This window comes from Homo sapiens, chromosome 12, assembly GCF_000001405.40.
Source record: "Homo sapiens chromosome 12, GRCh38.p14 Primary Assembly".
In the NCBI taxonomy this organism is placed as follows: domain Eukaryota; kingdom Metazoa; phylum Chordata; class Mammalia; order Primates; family Hominidae; genus Homo; species Homo sapiens.
Window position 1 is genome coordinate 49,789,192 of NC_000012.12, and position 20,122 is coordinate 49,809,313.

At 56.1% G+C, this 20,122-nt stretch overlaps 1 protein-coding gene across 6 annotated transcripts in view, besides 2 other annotated features; it reads right to left on the reverse strand.

Annotated features, from left to right (window-relative positions):
- Positions 1,556-2,398: an enhancer, noted in NCBI's record as "H3K4me1 hESC enhancer chr12:50184530-50185372 (GRCh37/hg19 assembly coordinates)". NCBI's record gives its function as "activates a minimal SCP1, AML or CMV promoter by ChIP-STARR-seq in naive H9 embryonic stem cells {active_cell/tissue: H9 hESC(naive)}" and the evidence as "EXISTENCE:reporter gene assay evidence [ECO:0000049][PMID:30033119]".
- NCKAP5L (NCK associated protein 5 like) overlaps positions 1,961-20,122 on the reverse strand; it is a 37,262-nt gene continuing 19,100 nt past the window's right edge. For 2 of the 6 annotated variants that reach the window (XM_006719525.3, XM_011538611.3), the window contains 12 exons: positions 16,789-16,850; positions 14,731-14,859; positions 13,906-13,974; positions 13,767-13,805; positions 12,657-12,776; positions 9,159-9,272; positions 5,574-8,203; positions 4,543-4,705; positions 4,161-4,242; positions 3,487-3,795; positions 3,255-3,397; positions 1,961-2,860 (listed from right to left, as the gene is read on the reverse strand). In XM_006719525.3, coding sequence (XP_006719588.1) covers positions 2,648-2,860; positions 3,255-3,397; positions 3,487-3,795; positions 4,161-4,242; positions 4,543-4,705; positions 5,574-8,203; positions 9,159-9,272; positions 12,657-12,776; positions 13,767-13,805; positions 13,906-13,974; positions 14,731-14,853 — 4,005 coding nt within the window. In that variant the 5' untranslated portion in view covers positions 14,854-14,859; positions 16,789-16,850 and the 3' untranslated portion in view covers positions 1,961-2,647. Of the gene's footprint in view, positions 3,398-3,486; positions 3,796-4,160; positions 4,243-4,542; positions 4,706-5,573; positions 8,204-9,158; positions 9,273-12,656; positions 12,777-13,766; positions 13,806-13,905; positions 13,975-14,730; positions 14,890-16,788; positions 16,851-20,122 lie in introns of all 6 variants that reach the window. The other 4 variants (NM_001037806.4, NM_001368048.1, XM_005269050.4 and 1 more) reach the window with 3 other exon arrangements.
- Positions 12,166-12,666: an enhancer, noted in NCBI's record as "H3K4me1 hESC enhancer chr12:50195140-50195640 (GRCh37/hg19 assembly coordinates)". NCBI's record gives its function as "activates a minimal SCP1, AML or CMV promoter by ChIP-STARR-seq in naive H9 embryonic stem cells {active_cell/tissue: H9 hESC(naive)}" and the evidence as "EXISTENCE:reporter gene assay evidence [ECO:0000049][PMID:30033119]".

Genomic DNA, 20,122 nt, shown 5'->3' on the forward strand with positions numbered 1-20,122 from the left:
CACCACGCCTGGCTAGTTTTTTGTATTTTTAGTAGAGACAGGGTTTCACTGTGTTAACCAGGATGGTATAGATCTCCTGACCTCGTGATCCACCCACCTCAGCCTCCCAAAGTGCTGGGATTACAGGCGTGAGCCACTGCACCCGGCCTTAAAACTTTTTTTGATAAAGAAAACAAAACAGGTTGGATGCAGTGGCTCACACCTGTAATCCCAGAACTTGGAGAGGCCAGGAGTTTGAGACCAGCCTGGGCAACATAGTGAGACCCCATCTCTACAAAAAAAAATTTTTTTTTTAAAGAAAACAAAGCACACTATTTGTAGAAATCTACAAAAGGGTAAAGAAGGAAAAAAAAACCCACTGGCTACCCAGAGAAAACTTGAGTTAATGTTTTTGGGACATTTCCTGCAAAAGGCAAAGTGCCCAGTGAAGTTGAACCTGAAGCCTTGTCATAATCTTTTGCTGATGCCTTGATGCCATTTTGGGGGATGGGGGAGGTGGCCTGGCAGTTTTGTCTTCCTTTGTTTGGAAAATCCAGCAGAATGGGTCTTGCACATTGCAAAGGCAAACATTCACCTATTATTCTTGGAGAAAACAGTGAATTTACCTGAATTCTGCAGGAAGATGTTGCAAACTGAGATATGAAGTGTTCTGCCTTAGTAAGGATCAAATGGTCTTTTAGCCTAACCTTTCTTTGAAGTGCAAGAAATTGATTCCCCAGGAGTGTCTTTAAACTCAACTGCATGTCCTCCTCCACAGAATCATTTTAGATAAAATACTGGGTCTGTGTGAAGGGCACACAATTATGTAGGCTGTGGGGTGGCTCATCTGGATCCAGGGTCTCTTAGCAGAATGCTGGGGGATTTAGGAAGTTTCCCACCATGGAACAGTTGGTAGGCAATGGCTGCCTCCAGGCGTCAGGTGTGACTGATGCCACCTGCCCTGCCTTGGTCAGTCAGCCCACATTGCCCTGGAAACCAAGGTGACGCCTTGTATTTGCAAACACCAGAGAATAAAGCCTAGGCAGATGGATCAGACCCTGGTGGTAAGAATGCGGATGGACCCTCTGGTCTCAGCTTGAAAGAGGTGGAGTCCTGCATCAAACCTACTATGCCAAACTCCTTCCCCAGAAGGAAATAGGAGAAATATCCTGCAGGCAAACAATTCTGTTCTAACTAGGAAATGAGGTAATCTACCAAGTTCAAGCAGAGAAGAGGGCTTGAAAAACCAAGAAATAAAAAGTGGGAAGGAGGTAGACCTCTTGAAGCCCACCTGGCAAGAAGCAGATTTACAGCTTGGTAATATTATGCTTAAGCCCATAAAAGCAGAAAAGATAGGACAGTGGGATAGGAATCTGGAAGTAGAAGACAAGAGGTAAGAAAATGGGATACTGACTTAAAAAAAAAAAAAAAAACCCAGACATCTGACTTGACACTCTCCGTCTTGTTAATTTCTTCAATGATGATATTAACTAAGAAGGGGTAGGAAGAGAATTGGGGAAGGGGTAGGAAGAGGAGAATGCTGAGAAGAAAGTCTGGCTGATGGGACCAGCTCGTCTGGATTAACTTTCTAATCTTCTATAGAGGAGGAAAACCAAGGTCTGGAGAAGAGATGCAACTCTACTCAGAGTCTGCATGTCCCCCCCAGCCTGGGACACGTGGGGCCTGAGTGCATGTCCACAGCCATCTTCCCCAGCTCCCTCTCCAAGGGGCCACCCAGCCTCGCGCCGTGCCCAAGCCCTGGCCCAGGAGAATCTCTCCGAGCCCAGATACCCTTCCGGGCCTAAGCAGGCCCTACTCTCCCAACCCTCAGTTACCTTCTGGGATGACTCCAGCCAGTTGCCCTGGTGAGGGGGCTGTGTCACAAGGGGGCCTGGGGTCCCTCAACCTGGCACCCATGCAGTGTCCCCCGACCTGGCCTGCCTGAGTCCTCCCACACAACAAGCCGACTCAGGGGCAGGGAGGGGGCCTCCACATTTTATTAGGGATACGGCAGAAGCAGAGGCAGGAAGCAGAGCAGCCGCATTTTAAACAACACATAAATTAACCGCAGTGCGGGGCTGGGGGCTGGGGGCTGGGCCAGGCGCTTCAATATATAAAAACAACAACAAAAAAGACGGACGAACAGACCCCAAAGGCATGGGGCAGAGGAGGGCAGCACCATCCAGACAGCAGGGAGGACCAGGGCAGAGAGAGAAGGCAACTTGTCCCCCTGGCCCCCAAACTCCACCAGCACGGGGGCCTCCAGGAGGGCCTCGCGAGGGCTTCGGGGCAGAGGAGCAGCCGGGTTGGGCAGAGATGGCACGGCTGGTGGGCAGGAAGCCCAGCACCACAAGATGGCTCAGCCTGAAGTAGGGACTGGAGGGCTGCGACACAGTGGCCTTTAACCCCCAGTCCCTTCCAGGAAGAGCCTTACTCTGGGTGAGAGAAGGGACCAAGGGCGGGGTCTCTCCCTGAGCTGAGCACGGTCATCTCATCCGCCGAAGCAGTGGGTGGTGGGGTGTGCCAGGGACCCCCTTTTCACCTTCTTATCCACCTGCCTCCTTGGTCCCTTCAGGGAGGGGTCCCCGTCTCCGGGGGCTGGGCATGAAGAGAGCCGGTCCAGTCTGTGGTCCCCAGCTCCAGCGGGGCCGTGGCGTGGCGCAGCCCCTCAGCCCTGACTCCCACAAGAGGACAGCGAGTCGTAGAGTGAGTCACTGAGAGACTCCGAGGTCTCCAGCCCTGGGGGGCCCCCGCTGGCCACTCTGCCTTCCTCGGCCATGTCCGAAGTGCTGGGGGTGCGGCTACCCCCGAAAGGTGGGCCCTGGGGCGTAGGGGACGGGCGGCTGGGCTCCTGGCTTCGCTTCCGGTCCACGGGCAGGGCCTGGGAAAGGAGGGGCAGCTCGGGAGGAAGCTCCTCTCCACCTTTCGGCCCAGCCTCAGAGGCACTGAGCTCTGAGGGGCGTCTGTGCACCTGATGGGGGGCTGCTCCAGAGGGGGCCCAAGGTGGGGTATACTTCAGAGGAAACAGGCTGGAGGTACAACTGAGAACAGTCCTACAAGGTTCTGGGGAGGGACAGAAACCTTTCCCCACGAGAGAAGTGCAAGGAGGGCAGTGGGGAGGGCCGCTCACAGGGCATCCCAGGGGTCCTCCTCCCAGAGGGTGCAGCACTGAGACTGTGCGACACACAGGCCGTACCTTACTGGAGAAACTGGTCTCCCCACATCACTCCCTCCTGCTCCCGAGTCCTTTCCCTTTCCTCTGCTGCAATTCTCACCATGGGGGTCCTGGGCAGCCCCTCCAGTTGTCGGGGTGGGCACATGAGAGGGTCCGAGGAGCTGCCGGCTGCCCTAGTATTGGGGAAGGTCCAGTTCTTGGCCAGCTGGACAGGAGGGGTGGGGCCTGGGTCTTCACAGGGATCTGTCCAGGAACAAAGGGAAGGTGGATGGAGCTGCCTGGGCAGCTCCAGGATGCCCAGGGGCATCCCACCCTCCCACCTGGACACTCACCATCAGGACAGGTCTCATGGCCCCGGTGGCCCGGAGCAGCGGGTAGCAGTGCAGGGAAGGCTGGCATGCTGGGGTGCCGCCCACTCACCAGCAGCTCCTCTATGCCTGGCACCTCCCGCTCCAGTGTGTGGGCGCGGCGGGGGACTTTGGTAAGGGGTGGGGGCCGAGCTGGGGGTACCCCAGGTGGGGGATCCAGCCGCGGTGGCTTGGTCTTAGGAAGATTCTTGCTGGGGGTCCCACTGCTACCATGGTCTGGGGGTGGGAAGGTCCCAATGCCACTGTCCAAGGTTCGAGTCAAGGAGCCACAGGCTGGGGAGGGGAGGGGAGGGCCCGTTAAGAGTGTGAGGCTGGGCTCAGTCCCCGGCCTGCCTCCACTTCCCGCCCAGCCCAGGCTCCACCCTTACTCAGGGCCCCTCCTGGCCCAACAGGCTCATTCCACAGCACCTGTCCACCAACCCCACCTGCCCTGGGCTTGGGGAAGGGGTGTAGGTGGGGCGAGTACCCTGAGGGCAGGGAAGGATTTGTTCCTGTGTAGCTCCAGTGCCCACCTGGTGCTTGGCACCAAGATGGCACACAGAGCCTGGCACCTGCTGCGGGGACGGGAAGAAGTAAAGTGGGAAGAAGTGGGTAGGGGGGTGGGGGCAGGCCCATCCTCAGCCCCTGACCCTGCTGACCTGTGAAGTGTGAGGTGGGCACTGGCTCGGCCAGGCTGTCCTCCGAGGGCATCTCTTCCCGCCTCCCTGGCTCGCTGCTCGGCTGTGTGGGATACAGGAGACCTCATAGTCCACTCCTCCCCCCTCCACACCCCTCCCCATGCCTCTAGAGGGTGGGAATGTGTCTGTAAACATATGAGAGTATGAGGATTAGGGCCCAGGAGTATGGATCTGAGAGCCCCTGCAGACTGGGAAGCCCCTCTCCCCTCCCCAGTCTCCCCGTAGAGACTGTGAGTGCATCCGGCACTCATGGTCTTGGGGAAGGGGAACCCTCTAGGGGGTAAGAGACCTGGCAGGGCCAGAGAGCCAGGCCGTCCACCCAGTCCCTACCCCAAGAACTTACCTTTCCAGGAGGTTTTCCGCAGCCCTGAAGAGGGCCCACCAGGCCATTCCGGGGCCCACAGGCTGGCCAGGGGCTCTTGGGGTCAGAAGACACCGGCTGGAAATCCCCGTACTCAGGCTTGGGCTCCCGCCAGCTCTTGGATGGCAGCTCCTTGCCATCCACCCTATGGGCAACAGTGCAGATATAGGTGAGGGTGGTCTTGCCTGCCCAGACATTCCAGCCTTGCACCCGCCAATGGTGCTGGGCTTAGGGAGGCACTTCCTGCCATCCACCCCCGGGGAAGGGGACATGTCGCTAGTGATTGCTCCCAACACCCTTCTTGACACTGGCAACAGGCAAGGACCTTAGGGAACCCCAGAGGAACAGAGGGCAGGGGAGAAGATGGGAGAACTCCCTGAAAGTTATCCAGGGTCAAGCCTAGAGACTGCTTGATGGTGATTCCAGGTAGACTGGCAGACCCGGTCACATCCTGGTCCATGAACGACACACTCCACCTGCTCTAGCTGAACTTCTGAGCACACCTGCGGTCCAAACCACGCACCCTACCTGGGGCCCAATTCCTGCAGACTTTCTGCCTCATCTGGCCCAGACAGAGCAACCCCAAGATGGGTGGATCCCTTCTTTAAACCACAACTCCTGTTGTGGCAGATGTCAAAGGGCAAGATGGGAAGAGGACTCCCCTTATCCCTTTCCTGAGGGAGAAGACCTTTATCAGCCCATAGTTAGGCTCTAGCCTTCACTTAACTATCACATGCAGGCTGCCTCATCTGGTATGGAGACCATCCAGGAAGATGTGGACTGTTAACTCTTCTCAAATGAGAAGCCAGCAATGAGGCCAAGCCCCTGATCTTTCCTCCAGGCCAAGTCACTGACCCCCCCACCAGCTGCTTTGGTGGCCTTCTATCCCTTTTGACCTCTGGGAAGCCCCAGCTCCCAGGAAAAGCAGGCCTAGCTCCAGACGCAGGTGTGCCCACGAAGGGAAAAGTGCCCCAAGCCCACCAAGCCCCTGTTGACTGATCCCAGGACCTCACCTGTTTAGCAGCTGCTGCATGAAGGTGTCTGCACCTTGGTACATGCCAGCCAGCTGGCCCTGCACCTGCCCCAGCCCCGTGTTGGGCCCTGGGGCTGGGCCACCAGGCCGTGGCCGGGCCCGGCTGCTTAGGTAGGCCTTCTCCTCTTCCAGTGCCCGACGCAGGTCTTCCGCCTTGGCCATCAGCTTGGAGATGTTGAGGCTCTCGGCCTCCAGCTTCCGGGCTTCCATCTTGACTTCCCTCCGGAGCGGGGAGCCCCCGCCAGCCCCCTCCTTGTTCTTGGTGGCCTCTGTGCGGCGGTTCAGCGCTGGCAGCTTGCTCTTCTTAAGGCCGAACCAGCTGGCGATGCTGCTGGTGTTGCGGTGCTTGACCTCGGCGCCAGGGGCTCGCTCCTGGCCCTGGAGCCGCAGCACGTTCTCCTCAATGCCCTTCATCACCTTCTCCTCGATGGCTGAGTGTGGGGCCAGCCCCTCAGGGCCCTGACTTGGGTCAGTGGGGCCAGGTACTAGGGGTGTGGACTGGGCCGTGGTACTACCACAGTCTGCCCAGGGAGGGCCCTTCCCTTTGTCAGGCTTGGGGGACTCCTTGGTGACTAGCGGAGCCCCAGGTCGAGGCACCACCTTGGTTGGTGACTTGGAAGGGAGCTTGGTGGGGCTGCTGTGAGGGCTCTTATTGGGCTTGCCCAGGCTTGGGGCTGAGGTTGGCACTTTGGCAGGGGTACGGGGTACCTGGGGGCACAGGGCCCCTGCCAGCCGGCTCTTGGCCAGCTCCACTTTGGTGAGGCAGCTCCTTGGTGAGACAGGCTCCAGGTCCACCCGGGCCCCCATGGAGTGAGAGGAGTAGACTCGGGCCCCGGGATCCCCCATAAGTCCAGGTTCCTGCTGCTTCAGGCTGTTTGTGCCCAAGGCCACTGCCCCCCGTATCCCCCCCTTGGCTTCTAGCTGCTCCAGTGGCCTGTGGATGGAGGGCACCATGTCTCCAGCACTCTCCCCTGACTTCCCAGGTCCCCGGGTCTTTTCGGTGCCAGGCCTGGCTGGCACCCCATTCTTCTCTGAGCCCAGGGCCCCCTCGGGGCCTGTCTTCAGCTTCCCCAGGGCCGCCAGTCTGTCCCGCAGAGGTGTGCTGCCAGGATCCCCAGGTCGCCGTCCTGACCCCTGGCTGGGCTTCTTGGATGAGTTGCCTGGGGTCCTGCGGCCGGGATGGGGAGACTCCGAGCCTGCCTTGTCCAAACTCTTCTCTTGGGGGCTCCCATAGGGGTACGATTCTGGGAGGCAAGGACTGGGGGGTACTCCAGGGCTTCTGAGGACCTCAGGGGCCTGTGGTACCTCCAGAGTTAGCTGTGGGTAGGTGGGCACCTGCAGTGGGGATGGAGGTGGCTCTGGGGAAGGCCCCCTAAAGGTGCTCCGAGAAAGGTCCAGAATGTTCTCATAGCAGGGAGACACCACTGGGCCTGGGGACAGCGTGGTGGACAAGGCTGACTGCGGGGGTCTGAGCTGTGTGGAGTCTGGGGTTGTGTAGCAGGGTGAAGGGCTGGTGGGCAGGCCTTGCGCCCCCTCTGGGGACAGCTCTCCTCCACCCAGACCCCTTCGGGCCAACAGTGGGGAGGGGCTGCCGTCTGAGCCACTGTTCCGACAGGGGATTCGCGAGTTCCGGGGGAGCTGGGGACTGAGCTGCGGGCCTCCTGGGCTGGGGCTCTTCTCCGAGGTTGGAGGCAGCTTTAGAAACTTGAGACCCCTAGCTGGAGAGGGCAGAAGGGGTCCCTGAGCTTCCCCAGGAGAAGGGGGGCCAATTTGGAGCTTGCTTTTCACCTGAGATGAGGAATGGGGGTGGCCAGGCCGAGAGCCCAGTGGGGCATCCCCAGCACCCATGAACATGCTAAGGAAGGGGAGGGGCCCCTGGCCCTCTGAGGTAGCACCGAAGCCTGGCCTGTGGGCCTCTGGGGTACCCCCACCCCAAGCTGACTTGGGGAGGCCTTTGGACTTAGACAGCTGTGGGGGCGCCTGGTCTGGGGAGGATGACTGCCCAGGACCTGGGTGGTCCCCATTGAGTGGGCCTGCAGCCCCGGCCAGGAAGGCCTGTAGGTAAGACTCTGTGTCCTCAAGGAGCTGGCCCAGGTTCAACTGTCTGCGGGCCAGGGCACCGAGCAGGGTGTCGGGGCTGGGTGCCTCATTGGGGTCACCTGCCTCATCAGAAGAGGAGGAGGAGCTGCTGCCTGGGGCACAGTTTGGGCCAGAGCTGGTGCCCTGGGCCTGAGGAGGTCCCCTGCTAGGACCCCAGGGCCGCCCAGTGTCCTCTTCCCCTCCCAGACCCCCCAAGAGGCGCTCCCAGTGCAGCAGGCCTCCCAGGTTGCCAGGGCCTAGCAGCAGGCAGGGCGCCCAGGGTGAGGGTTCAGGCTGAGGCGGGCCACACAGCTCGCCGTTGATGGGCTCTGGGGAGCCAGGCCCCTGGCCTGGAGGCCGCCAGGGGGTGGCAGGTGAGCAGAGAAGCAAGGGGTCAGTCTCTTCCAGGGCTCTCAGCACCTCCAGAATCTGGGCCTTCTTCCGAAGGAACGGGGATAGGGCATCCAGCGCTGGGGGTGGGGCGGCTGGGGGGCCTGGGCCTCCTGGCCTCAGCTGCTGCTCCCAACATACCTTAGGGGAGAGATGATGGCATGAGGAGGAGACCACACACAGCTGGGATCCAGTTCCAGGCCCAGGCCCTGGGCTGGCTTAACAGGGAATGCCAGGAACAGAGCTGGCCTGGTTGTGTCTGTGTCCCCAAAAGGAATTAACAGCAACTGGGATATGATGGTTCCGCTTCCTCAAGGGTTGCTCAACACTGGTTACCCCAGTTCTTCTTCCTGGCACACTTGGGGTTGGGCAGGCACCCTACATCCTTTTCTTGGTTGCCCCAGCCCCTACTCCCCACAGCCATTTGGATTAGCAGGGCTGACCACCTAAAACTCTGACCTCTGTGTTTGTCCCAGGGGAGGGAGGCCTGTCCATTTCTCGGGCCCAGAAAGAACACACAGACTCCAGAAGGGAGTGTGATGTGGCCAAGTCCTAAGTCAGTCACTATAGGCAAACCCAGGCCTCCTCAGGGAACACAGCTGACCCCGCTGACCTCATCCCCAGCAGAAAGGGGTTGGGGGTGACGCCATGCCCAGCCCTTTCTCAGGTGTAGCATAGTGTGGTATAGTGGGCAACCCATAGGCTCTGGAGTCAGCCTGTGTAGGCTCAAGTTCCAGTTCTGCCTATTGATAGGGCCTTCAAGTTATTTGAGCTCTAAGCTGCTTCATTGTGTCATCTGTAAAATGGGATGATTATTACGTTAACCTCACTAAAGAAGACAAATGAGATCCAGGGTGTTCTACACAGTGCCTGGCATGCAGTAAGAGCTCAGTAAGTGTTAACCATGCCTCTTAATGCATTACTAATGCATTTGCTCACAGGGCCAGTGGCTAGGATTGGGGATCTGCTTTTTTTGGCATTCGGCTGCTCACACTTCCAGCCTGGACAAACGTCTGAGCACTGGGAAACAGCCCTTCTCCAGATATTTGCTAGGAAACATCAGTGGAGTACTGACCACAATACCTAGCCCTCCTACCTCTCTCTGCCCAGCACAGTGCCCCAGAGGCAGCGGGGCAGCCGGTCCCTCAGTGGAGCTCAGGGAGGGGGAGGCTGGTGGCTCTGATGGTGGCTGGAGTGGAGTGAGTGGGATCTGCAGAGGGAGAGGCAGAGTTAGCACAGTAGCTGTCTGACCCCAGCTCCCTACTCCCTCGCAAAGCCAGGCCTTCCCCTCTGAGTCCGCTCCTTCACGGAGGACTCCCAGACTCCCAGCCCCAAATGCAGCTCTTGCTGCTGCCCCACCCACCGGTAAGAGAAGCCTCAGGAGACCACAGCACAGGCAGATCTAGGGTCTCAGAGTGAGACTGGTCAGAGGGCTTTGGAGAAACATGAATGTCCCGAGCCCAGAGGGCCACAGCCAGTCTAACTCTGGGTGCCTTTCTTAGCTCCAGGCCTGCTTTACTTTTCTGTGGGGCTTCCTCTCCTCTCACAAAGAGGGTTACCGCAAAGGTCTCTTCCTGTTCTGACCACCTGGGATCTGAGGATCATAGGGACAGCTGAGATAAATGGTCTTAGATGGTCTTAGGAAAGAGATGGCAGGGAGTTATAATATTTCTGTCTCCCCTACCTGGTCTCATGTGGAACATCTACTCTGAGGACTGAAAAGGCAGGATTTAATCATTCTCAGTCCCTGAGAATGTAATTTCCTTCTCCTGGGCATCTTGTGGCTAGATATAAGTCAGCTTTAACTCCTCCCTCTCCCTCATTCTTCACAGCCTTTAAACCCTGTCTCTGCAGCGCCCCTCAAGGCCCCCTGCCCCACAACCTATGGCCAGCTGCAGCAGCGCCTCCAGCCCAGTTCTTCCTGCCTCTGGCCTGCACTACTCAGCATCTCATTCAGTCTCCTTGACCTGGTTTGGTGGTCTTTCAATCTCCTGTGCACAAGAGAACCTCAAGCATCTTTTTTTTTCTTTAAACTATAAACTCTAACAATGAGATGAGATTTTTTTTTTTTTTGAGACAGGGTTTTGCCTCTGTCACTCAGGCTGGAATGCAGTGGCACGACTGTAGCTCACTGCAGCCTAGATCCCCTGGGCTCAAGCAATCCTCCTGCCTCAGCCTCCCGAGTAGCTAGGACTACAGGCACGTGTCACCATGCCTGGCTAATTAAAAAAAAATTTTTTTTTTGTACAGATGGTGTCTTGCTATGTTGCCTAGGCTGGTCTTGAACTCCTGGGCCCAAGTGATTCTCCCTCTTCAGCCTCCCAAAATGTTGGGATTATAGGCGTGAGCTACCGCGCTCGGCCTCATTTTCTTTTCTAAAGCATTTTTGTGCTCAAAAGCCTCCTATGCCTGCCCATTGCCCATGGAAACAAGTGTGAACTCCTCTGCAGGCATTCCGGGCCTGGCTGGCCAGCTCTTCCCATGCCACCGTCTCCACCTTGCTGTCTCCCTCACTGTCCCTTCACACGTACTTTGCTCCAGCCAAGCTGCACAGCTTGCTGCTCTCTGGGCTTCCCTGCCCTTGGATCTTTGCTCATGCTGTTCTTTCCACAGGGATCCCTCTGCCCCAGTCCCCATTCCACTCTTAAAATCTCCCATCCGGCCGGGCATGGTGGCTCATGCCTGTAATCCCAGCACTTTGGGAGGCAGAGGCGGGTGGGTCACCTGATGTCAGGAGTTCGAGACCAGCCTGACCAACATGGAGAAATCCTGTCTCTACTAAAAATAGAAAATTAGCTGGACATGGTGGCGCATGCCTATAATCCCAGCTACTCGGGAGGCTGAGGCAGAAGAATCGCTTGAGCCCGGGAGGCAGAGGTTGCGGTGAGCCGAGATCGCGCCATTGCACTCCAGCCTGGGCAACAAGAGTGAAACTCCATCTCAAAAAAATCTTCCATCCATCCATTAAGGCCCAGTTCCACTGTCATTTCCATCCTTCTCTGATGGCCTCCCCACACTGTCCCCTGGGTTCTTTGACGGCACTGTCACACTCTGCCTTGTGGCATGGCGTCTCTACCTCCCTGAGCTCCCAACAGTCCCAGGGTCCTGGGCTCCTGTTGGCCTGCAGAGGCCTCAGCCCTTAGACAGGGCCTTGTGATGCAGTCCAATTCCATACGTGTTGTCAAAGGCACTGCTCACAGTAAGAGCTTAATTGGCATTTGTGCAAAGGGGCTTTCACCCTAGCAAAGCACAAGCTGGGAATCACATCATAAACAGCTGCCACTGACTGACTATCTACTGTGGGCCAAGCGCGACACATCATCTCATTGAATCTTCACGTCAACTGCAATATGGGTATTTTTATCCTTATCTGTAAAGAAAAAACTATAGTCTGTAAACCTTAGTAATTTGCCCCAGGTCACACAGCTAAGAAGTAGCTAAGTTAGGGATCCAACCCAAGTTTATCCGAGGCCAAGCTTCGTGCTCTTTCCATTATGTCATGTTACCTCTGGGGAAGATAAATCTATTGGCCCAAACCCCATGAGGTTCCAGAATTCATTTAGGTAAAAAGTAAATGATTTAAGGACACTCGACCCCTCTGTTATCAGCAGTCATTGAGAAGAGTGTGCTGGGGTGGGCTGAGCTGCTGTGGTTGGGCCTCCGGGGATTCCAGGGTGAACCCTGCCACAGGGACAGATCTAGGGCAAGGAGAACTGCAGAGTCACTGCTGTGGACTCTGACCCAGCTCTGTGCCAACCTGGCGAGACGGGGGCTCCAGAGTGGCCATGGTGACAAGGGGCCGCCTCTGCAAGGGCCAAGCTACCAGTGAGCAGAGGGGCTGCCTGCTCAGGGGCTGGGGGCCAAGAGCTGCCCAGTTTGCCTCAGACAGACACAAACACGCACACCCCCCTCCCCCATACACACACACAGAAAAGTGCTTCTCTTCTTGTCAAAGTGAGGGGAAGGGGCTGGCTAACCTCAGAAACAACCTGCTGCTCACCTCAGGCATCTGGAGCTGCTCCTGATCCTCCCACCCCCATGTCTTACCCCATCCTTGGGGGTTCCTCACAGAGTAACCTCAAGTGACACCTTAACTCAGCCCAGGAGTCACTCCCAATAGCCTCCTGCTTCTCCTGGGGAAGGGAGGTGTCAGGGCTCCCAGCAGAGACTGTCTGTGAACAGTTATCAGAACCGAAATGTCTTTCCTGACCTCTCTGTGACACCATACCCTAGGCTGCCTAACACCCAGCCCTACCCCTGTGCCCGGCCAAGAAGAGGCTGTGTCAGTGGCCAAATAAGCCTCTTGGAAGCTTGAAATAATTGCATCTGCAGACTCCACCCATCTCCCCACCCAAGGCAGGAGCAAGTGCAAAGCTCTGTCAACAAGAAGGGACACCCTCCCGCTGGTGGGGAGCACTGGGAGGAGGGAACGGCCAAACCCAGGGGACTTGGGTAGTTTCCATACCCCCAGAATGGAAGGTGGACAGCTGATGGCCTGCTTCCCTAGGGGCACGTGAGAAGACAGTGATGGGGCCGATGGAGCCGAGGAGGCAGGAGGCAGTGCGATGGGAGTGAAAGGAGCGCAGATGCCTACCTGAGGGAGCGAGCCTGTCGTGAGCTGGAGTTTCTGCTGAAACAGGGCACTCAGCATCTGGTTCTGCCGTTCCAGGTCAAACACTCTCTTCTTCAGCTTGATGCACTCCTCTCGCAGGTCCTGCCGCCCACCCCGGGAAGTGCAGGAAGAAGAGGTGAGGATGGTGGGAGAGTGTCACAGTGCTCTTCATCAGAGCAGCGGCATCTGTCTGGAGGCCCCAGGACCCTTCTGGGCACACACTTCCGCTGCAACCTCCTTCTATGAGGAATCTAAGCCTGCCGATGTTGGTAGCTATAGCATCTTCTAGGGATGGTAAATTCTCTAAAGTTTATCACCCCTGGTGGGAGGTAAATCCTATTCTCTTTGTTATCTTTCTCATCCCTAGAATCGACCCCCCGCCTCTTTTTTTCTTTTTTTTTTGAGACGGAGTCTCACTTTGTCGCCAGGCTGGAGTGCAGTGGTGCAATCTCGGCTCACTACAACCTCCACAACCTGGGTTCAAGCGATTCTCCTGCCTCAGCCTTCCTAGTAGCTGGGACTACAGGAGTGCACCACCATGCCCAGCTAATTTTTTTATTTTTAGTAGAGACGGGGTTTCACCATGTTGGCCAGGATAGTCTTGATCTCTTGACCTCGTGATCTGCCCACCTCGGCCTCCCAAAGTGCTGGGATTGCAGGCGTGAGCCACCGCGCCTGGCCCTCTGCCTCTTAGAAACCACACATCAAAAAAGGGCCTATATAAGACAGAGCAAGGCCTTGGAGTTAAAGTGGCCCCAATGTCAAGAAGTTATCCACCATAGGTGAGTAAATATTCAGATGCCATTTAGGCTCACAACATCAACACTGCTTTAAGGGCTATCACAACCTGGAAAAGCCAGCTGGGGACAGGGTAAGGGAAGAAGTCATGCTCAAATCAGTGACCACTGCTCAGAGACCTGGCCTTACCTAGTCCCACCTCTGTCTCTAGGTAGAACAGAATGGACCCGCCCAAGGCGGAAAGACGGGGAATCACTGGAGGGCAACAGCCCATGTCCTCCAAGCCCTTAGTCTCCAGGAAGGGTCTCATCTGCTGTGCCCAGGGCTTCTCCCCAGGGTGTCTGGGTTACTCACCTTCTGGTTCAGCAACGCCTGTACCACATGGTTGGCAACCTGGGGACAGAAAGCCCCGAGGCAGAGCCATCAGCTGACCCCAGCTTCTGCCAGGAGCAGATGAGCCACATCCCCCCAGTCCCACTACAGACCCACAGACCTCGTCCAGACAGCGCTCATAAGTCTCCCGCTGGTTTTCGTTGGCCTGGGCAAGTGCCGAGTTCTCTGCCTGCAGGAGTGAGGGAGGAAGAGGGCAAAAAGGTGGCTTTGGGGATTATTCTTCCCCCAGGGCACATTCCTTTTGGGAAAGGGGAGGCAACTACAGGGGTGCTAACTATACCCCCACTCCAGCTCTTGGCTGTGAGCAGATTCTCATATGAGGAATCCTGCAGAGGCCAAGGGCAGCAGGAGGGCAGGGCTGACCTGGGATGGTTTTCTATAAACCCCGACCTCAGTCAGTGGCAATGGGGGCTCTGGGGGATACAGTGGCCAAGTAGACCTGAGGTGGGAGGTGCCCACAGTAACCCTTATTTCCCTGGGAGACGGGCAGAGGAGGCTTTAGGGAGGATGACAGGGTGTTAAGAATGTGGTGAGGGGTGTGGTCTGAGGATCTGCACCCTTATCCCTCAACTCCTGAGCCATGGGCCATCCAGCCTCTTCCTCTTGTGGCCTCTGACCACCCCCTTTCCTAGAGCCTGCAGAGGCATGAGAGGTAAGGAAGGGAGGTGTTTGGGGGTTAGGACACTCATCCCTGTGCATGCTTCTTGTCCCCGAGCCGTCACTGGGCCGGGCAGCTAAGAGCAAGGAAAGGGCTTCTCAGAGGAGCTTTGCAAAAGAATGTTCTGCTAGCCTCCTGCCTGGCAAAGCAGGCCGAGAGGAAGGCCCATGGCACCCAAAAACCTGCAGGAAGCTCAGAGGGAGGGGCAGCCCTGCCTCCCCAGGGCTCTGGCTGGCACTGCTGCCCCTACCACGCCCCATGCCGCACCTCCAGCTCCCGCAGTCGGTGCAGAAGCTCCTGGCAGGTGCCTGGCTCCATGCTGCCATCATCACCCTCTCCTGGCCTTGGGTTTCCAGGACCCCCAGCTGGCTGGTCCATGGCCTCTGACATCTGGCCCTGGGAACAAGGAAGAGAAGCCCCGGCAGGCTACTCCAGGGAATGAGGAGGAAGTGAGAAGGAGGAGGACAAAGATGAAACCCTTTAGTCTCCTTGGAGCTTAGGTCAGTGTGACCTATATGCATGACACTGTAATAACTCAGGGCCAGGCTGGGTATCTCCTGGTCACGGTCACGGGGCAGACAACACAGATACTCTCCTCATCTTAAGAACAGAGACCATTGTTTTAGAAAGCCCCATACTCACACAAGAAACCTGATTTCTCTACTGGGACTGGCCTCAAGCTGGCACGTCATTCAGCCTCCCTGGGTCTCAGTCCCTCTATTTGTAAAATAACACCAATATCCCCTAATCTCATTCAGTGTTTGCAAACAAAGATTAGGTCTGTGAAAGTGATTTGAAGAAGTTAAAAAAAAACACTTAAAACACAAGACCGTTATTACTCATAACAGTAATAATAATTTAAACTAATTTAACAAGTAAGACAACTAGGATTTTGTCCTGGGCATCGGTGATCCCCTGCCTGGAGCAGGCACATGCTTTAGATAGTGGAGACAATGGATAAAACCCTGGCTTTGCGGCCAAAAGCCTCTGCCTGGCTCTGCTTAGTATGAACTGGGTGAACATATGAAAACCGAGCTCATTCATTCACTCGGTCAACCAGATGATCCTCAGTTTCCTAGTTCTGAGAAATGGGCAGAAGAATTCTTCCTCCCTTACAGGGTCATTGTGAGAGTCAAATGTGACCACGTAGGGAAGAGCACCCTGAGAACACGACTCAGCACATGGGGAGAATACAGTTGAGCCTGGGGCCTGGCGCCCTTAGCTCTAGCTCTGGCTCCAGTGCTCACTTGCTGGGTTATCCCAGGGCAAGGTCCCGATCCCTGGGCCTCAGGCTCCTCCTGGACAAAGTGGGAAGTGCCCTGCACCCCTCCGGGGCTCTGCTTTCTAGCTCCAGCCTCACTAGGCACCCACTGCCCTGGCAGGAGCTAGGCCCCGTCAGATCAGGCTCTTTGTGCACGATGGTCCTTCTGCTGGGGTCTCTTGACACCACCCGCTCCTTTCGACTTGGCCAGCTCCTCCCTATTCATCCTTCAGGGCTCCCAGGCGATGCTCCTGCAAGATTGTACACCAGCCTCCCCCACCAGACAGTCAACTCCGTGAGGGCAGGAACACTGCATTTGCCTCCCCATCCAAACTCACATGCCTCCTGGTGGGATCCCTGGCATGTAGGAGACAGACTGATGACTAGACGAAGCTCATGACCACATCCAGCACGGCCAGGGCTCAGACCTGCATCACACCATGGGATCCTCCCACCCCACCAAACCATTGCCATTGTTGCTAGCTTGAACTGACTAGTCTTCATCTTCCAATTGAGTTCCAATTTCTCTGCTAGAGAAAAATGCTGTTTTTCTTTCATACAAATATTGTGGAGGTTTCCAGTAGATGGGCAACCCTTCCTATTATAAAAGGGTGGAAGCTTGGTCCATCACTGACTACCCCTTGTGCCATTGAAGCCCCCACAAAAGAAAAATGGGGTTGGGCGTGGTGGCTTATGCCTTGTGACCTCAGCACTTTGGGAGGCCAAGGTGGGAGGATGGCTTACGGCTAGGAGTTCAAGCCCAGCCTGGGCAACATACTGAGACCGCATCTACCAAAAGAAAAAAAAAGAAGTGGGAGGATCCCTTGAGCCCTAGAGTTCGAGGCTGCAGTGAGCTATGATCGCCACTGTGCTCAAGCCTGGGCAACAAAGCAAGACCGTTTCAAAACAAAAATAAAAAGGCTTGGAGCTTTTGGACTATAGGAGAGAGGTGTCCTCAGCAGCTCACCATCGAGCCATCTGAGTGCTTGCTTCCTTATCCTCCACAGTGGAGCCCAGGGGTGCCTCTCCCACCCCCAGCATGCACAGGCCCCAAAGCCCCTCACCTGTCTCTGCCCCCTTACGCAGGTGGGCACACTCACTCTAGCATCCAGAACGGTCACCTTGCCTGTGGAGAAAAAAAAAAAGACGTCAGCCACGCACTTACTGGGCTCCTGCTATGTGCCAGGCACTGGGACACGGGACGAACAGCCAGAGACAGCCCAGCCGCTATGATGCTTCCACTCTATTGGACGAGGCCGACAATGTACAGCGTTGGGTTGTGATAAGGCACTGAGAGATGACAATTAAGCAGAGACCTGAATGAAGTCCAGATGAAATCCTGGAATGGGAAAGCATTTGGGACAGCAGAAAGAGCCAGTGCAAAGGTCCCCATCTCTCAGCCAGGAATCATCAGACAACAGAGGAGACTGAAAAGTCACACCTGGTACTTTACAACCCGGTTCTACAACATACATTGTCTTGCCTCGTGCTCAACAGTTAACCACAACAATGTTAAATGCTATTATCAGTGCCTGTGTTTCAGATGAGGAAACCGAGGAACAGAAAGTTACACTTGCACACACTGTGTTTACCCAGTGTGATGAATAGCACAGGCGCTTTCTTCCACACCATCCCATCCAGTTCTCCTAACAACCCTGGAAGGGGAGCACCCGCCTGCGGGAGGAGGCAGGCTCTGGGGCAGAGGATATTGCCCAAGTCACATGACTACTTCACAAAGCACACCAGACAGGCCTAGATTTTCCCACTCCTCTGCACACACCCAAGCTTCACTGTAAGCTCCACAGTAAAACAGACATTTAAGCTCCGTACAGCCCTAAGGCTCCCTGGAGGCTAGAAACTTGGGCTAGAAATCTGACACTAAAGAATCTCTTTTCTCTTGTTCTCACTTGTAAAACAGGGATAAGAACACTTAGCCCAAAGGGTTGTTGGAGGACAAAATGAGATAATATATGTAGAGTGTCTGGCGTGAATTCCATAAATGGAGACTTTTCATATCATCACCTGCTGACAGAGGCACAGTACAAAGCTATGGGGTTGTTGTGGAGCCTGCTGCTACCTTGTCCGTTCACACAGAGGCCGACTCCGAGTCCCAGGGCCCTTACCCAGGGGTCTCCGCTATAGGGGCACCTGAAGATCTCAGAATGCTGCTCTGCCCACCCTGCCCTCAGAGGCCTCCTCTCCAACTCCTCCCAGCCGGCCCTCCAGCCCCAGGGCCAGCCTTGCCTTCCCTCTTCTCTTCTATACCCCAGAAAGAGAAGCAGCTGGATGTTTGGGGGCTGGGATTACAGTGAAAAGAGAGAATGCTTCTTCGTGTGTGTGTGTGTGTGTGTGTGTGTGTACACAACAGTGGGAAGGGGACTTCTGAAAACACTTGGAGGAAAAGGAAGACCTGTTTAATACTGATTTTTTTATTTTTTAAAGAGACAGGGTCTCACCTCACTGCCCAGGCTGGAGTTCAGTGGCACGTTCATAGCTCACTGCATCCTTGGCCTCCTGGGCTCAAGTGATCTCCTGCCTTAGCCTCCCAAGTGGCTGGGATGAGAGGCACGAGTCACTGTGCCTGGCCTCTAATGCTTATTGTTAATACTGTATAATAATCTGAAGTTTTTTATTTTAACATCATAAAAATGTATCATATTTAACTTGGTTTGCTCATAACATTATCACGTTTGATAGACTTAGAAATATACAGGCCTGGAAAAAAAATGAAAAATATTTAAGAATTATCTTCCTTCCCACACTCAAATGGGGTGAAACCCAGAATGTCTCAGGTCACCTCCAGCATCTGACCAGTGCCACCCTCACCCACAACTCTGGTCTCTGGGCCACTGTCCTCCCACTGCCTGCAGCAACCTGCCCATCGGTCCCCAGCGTGTCCCTCAATCCCCTCACCATCAGAGGGGCTAGGGTGTGGCTGAGGTATGCTGTGGAGGAAGAGAAAAAAGTTGGGAGGGTGAGGGAAAGGAATGGGATGAAGAAGGCAGCATTCGGGGTCTGGAAAAGGATAACGCTAAGGACCGGGAAACCCTAAGATTTGTGTTCTTCACAAGAAAGCAACAACGAAACAATGTAGAGTATCTTTTCCCAAAATAATAAAAAAGCATCCAGGTTAAGAGCAAGGCCAGGCTGTGAGGACTGGCTGCGGACTCTCTATGTGTGCACGCAGTGGTTTTCTGTGTTGAGGAGCATGGAGACCCCACACACTCCACACAAAGCCAGGCATGGCCCCGATCCACAGCTGAGCCCCTGTGAATCCCAGGCCAGGAGGCCCGAGTTCCACTGAGAATGGGGGAGACCCTCCGATTTATGAGCCAGCCAGTGGTCACAGTTCTTCTTCTCAGAGTGCCCCAGCTGGAGTGGGGCTAGGACTCAGCCCCTCTTCAGGAGAAATACTTTCTGGCCTCACAGCGAGGGGGTCTGGGGTCAGCCCAGGATGAGGGGGCCTCCTCTGCATCTGCAGGGCCGTCACAGTGGAGGGCAGGAAGCTGTCACGGGGAAGAGACCTGCAGGAAAGCTTGGTGGTGGGGAGGAGCACGGGCCATGAGAGTCGGCCCAGAGTCTGAGTTCAAGATTTCTAAAGAAAACTTCCTGCGTCCTTACCCTTCTCTAGGGAAGGTCAAGATCCAGAGAGAGACCACCACCACCAGCTCCAAATCGAAGCCAAGTCAGGAATGTGGCCCTCTGGAGTCTGGGCTTTCTGCCTGCCTCTCATGGGGGATGCCTGCCCAGGCAGGCTTCGCAGTGGTGGTCCCTGCTGCCTCCCCAGGGGCTGAGCACCGCCTCCTCCCTCAGGACCCACAGCTCCTGCTCACAGCCATGAGCTCAGCCCGACCTGGGGCAGGGAAAACCCCAGGCTTCGGGTTTTTGGAATGGCTCTGGTTTCAGACATTCCTCTGGTGGCCCCAACACGTCTGGGACGCTGGGTCTGGACACACAGTGCCGGCCAGGCAGGGTCTGGGAACTCTAACTTGAACTGGAGGCTTCTCCCGCCGGAATTGCCATCCACAAAGGCCTGATTCTGAGGGAGGTGACCTCAGTGCAGGGGGAGGGAGAGAAGGAGGGGGGAGAAGAGCGGAGTCCTCTCTGGCTCGTCCTTCAGAGGGTGTGGGGAGGGGGCCAGTTTTCAGGCAGCCAGGGCCGAGGAAGGAGGAAACTTGCTCAGGGGTCTCTGGGTAACCTGGGCGACCACCATCTCTTCAGCCAAGTCAGTCACGGAGGGCCCCAGCTCTCCCTTCCCCCTTAAAGCCAGGAGGGGACAGGGGCTTTCAGGGCCTCCAAAGAGATCTTACTGTCCTGGCCTTTCAGTTAGCCAGACCAGAAGGGGTCTGTGGCTCCTACCTCCTCTCCAGCAGGGCACAGGCAAGACCCCTCCCTGAA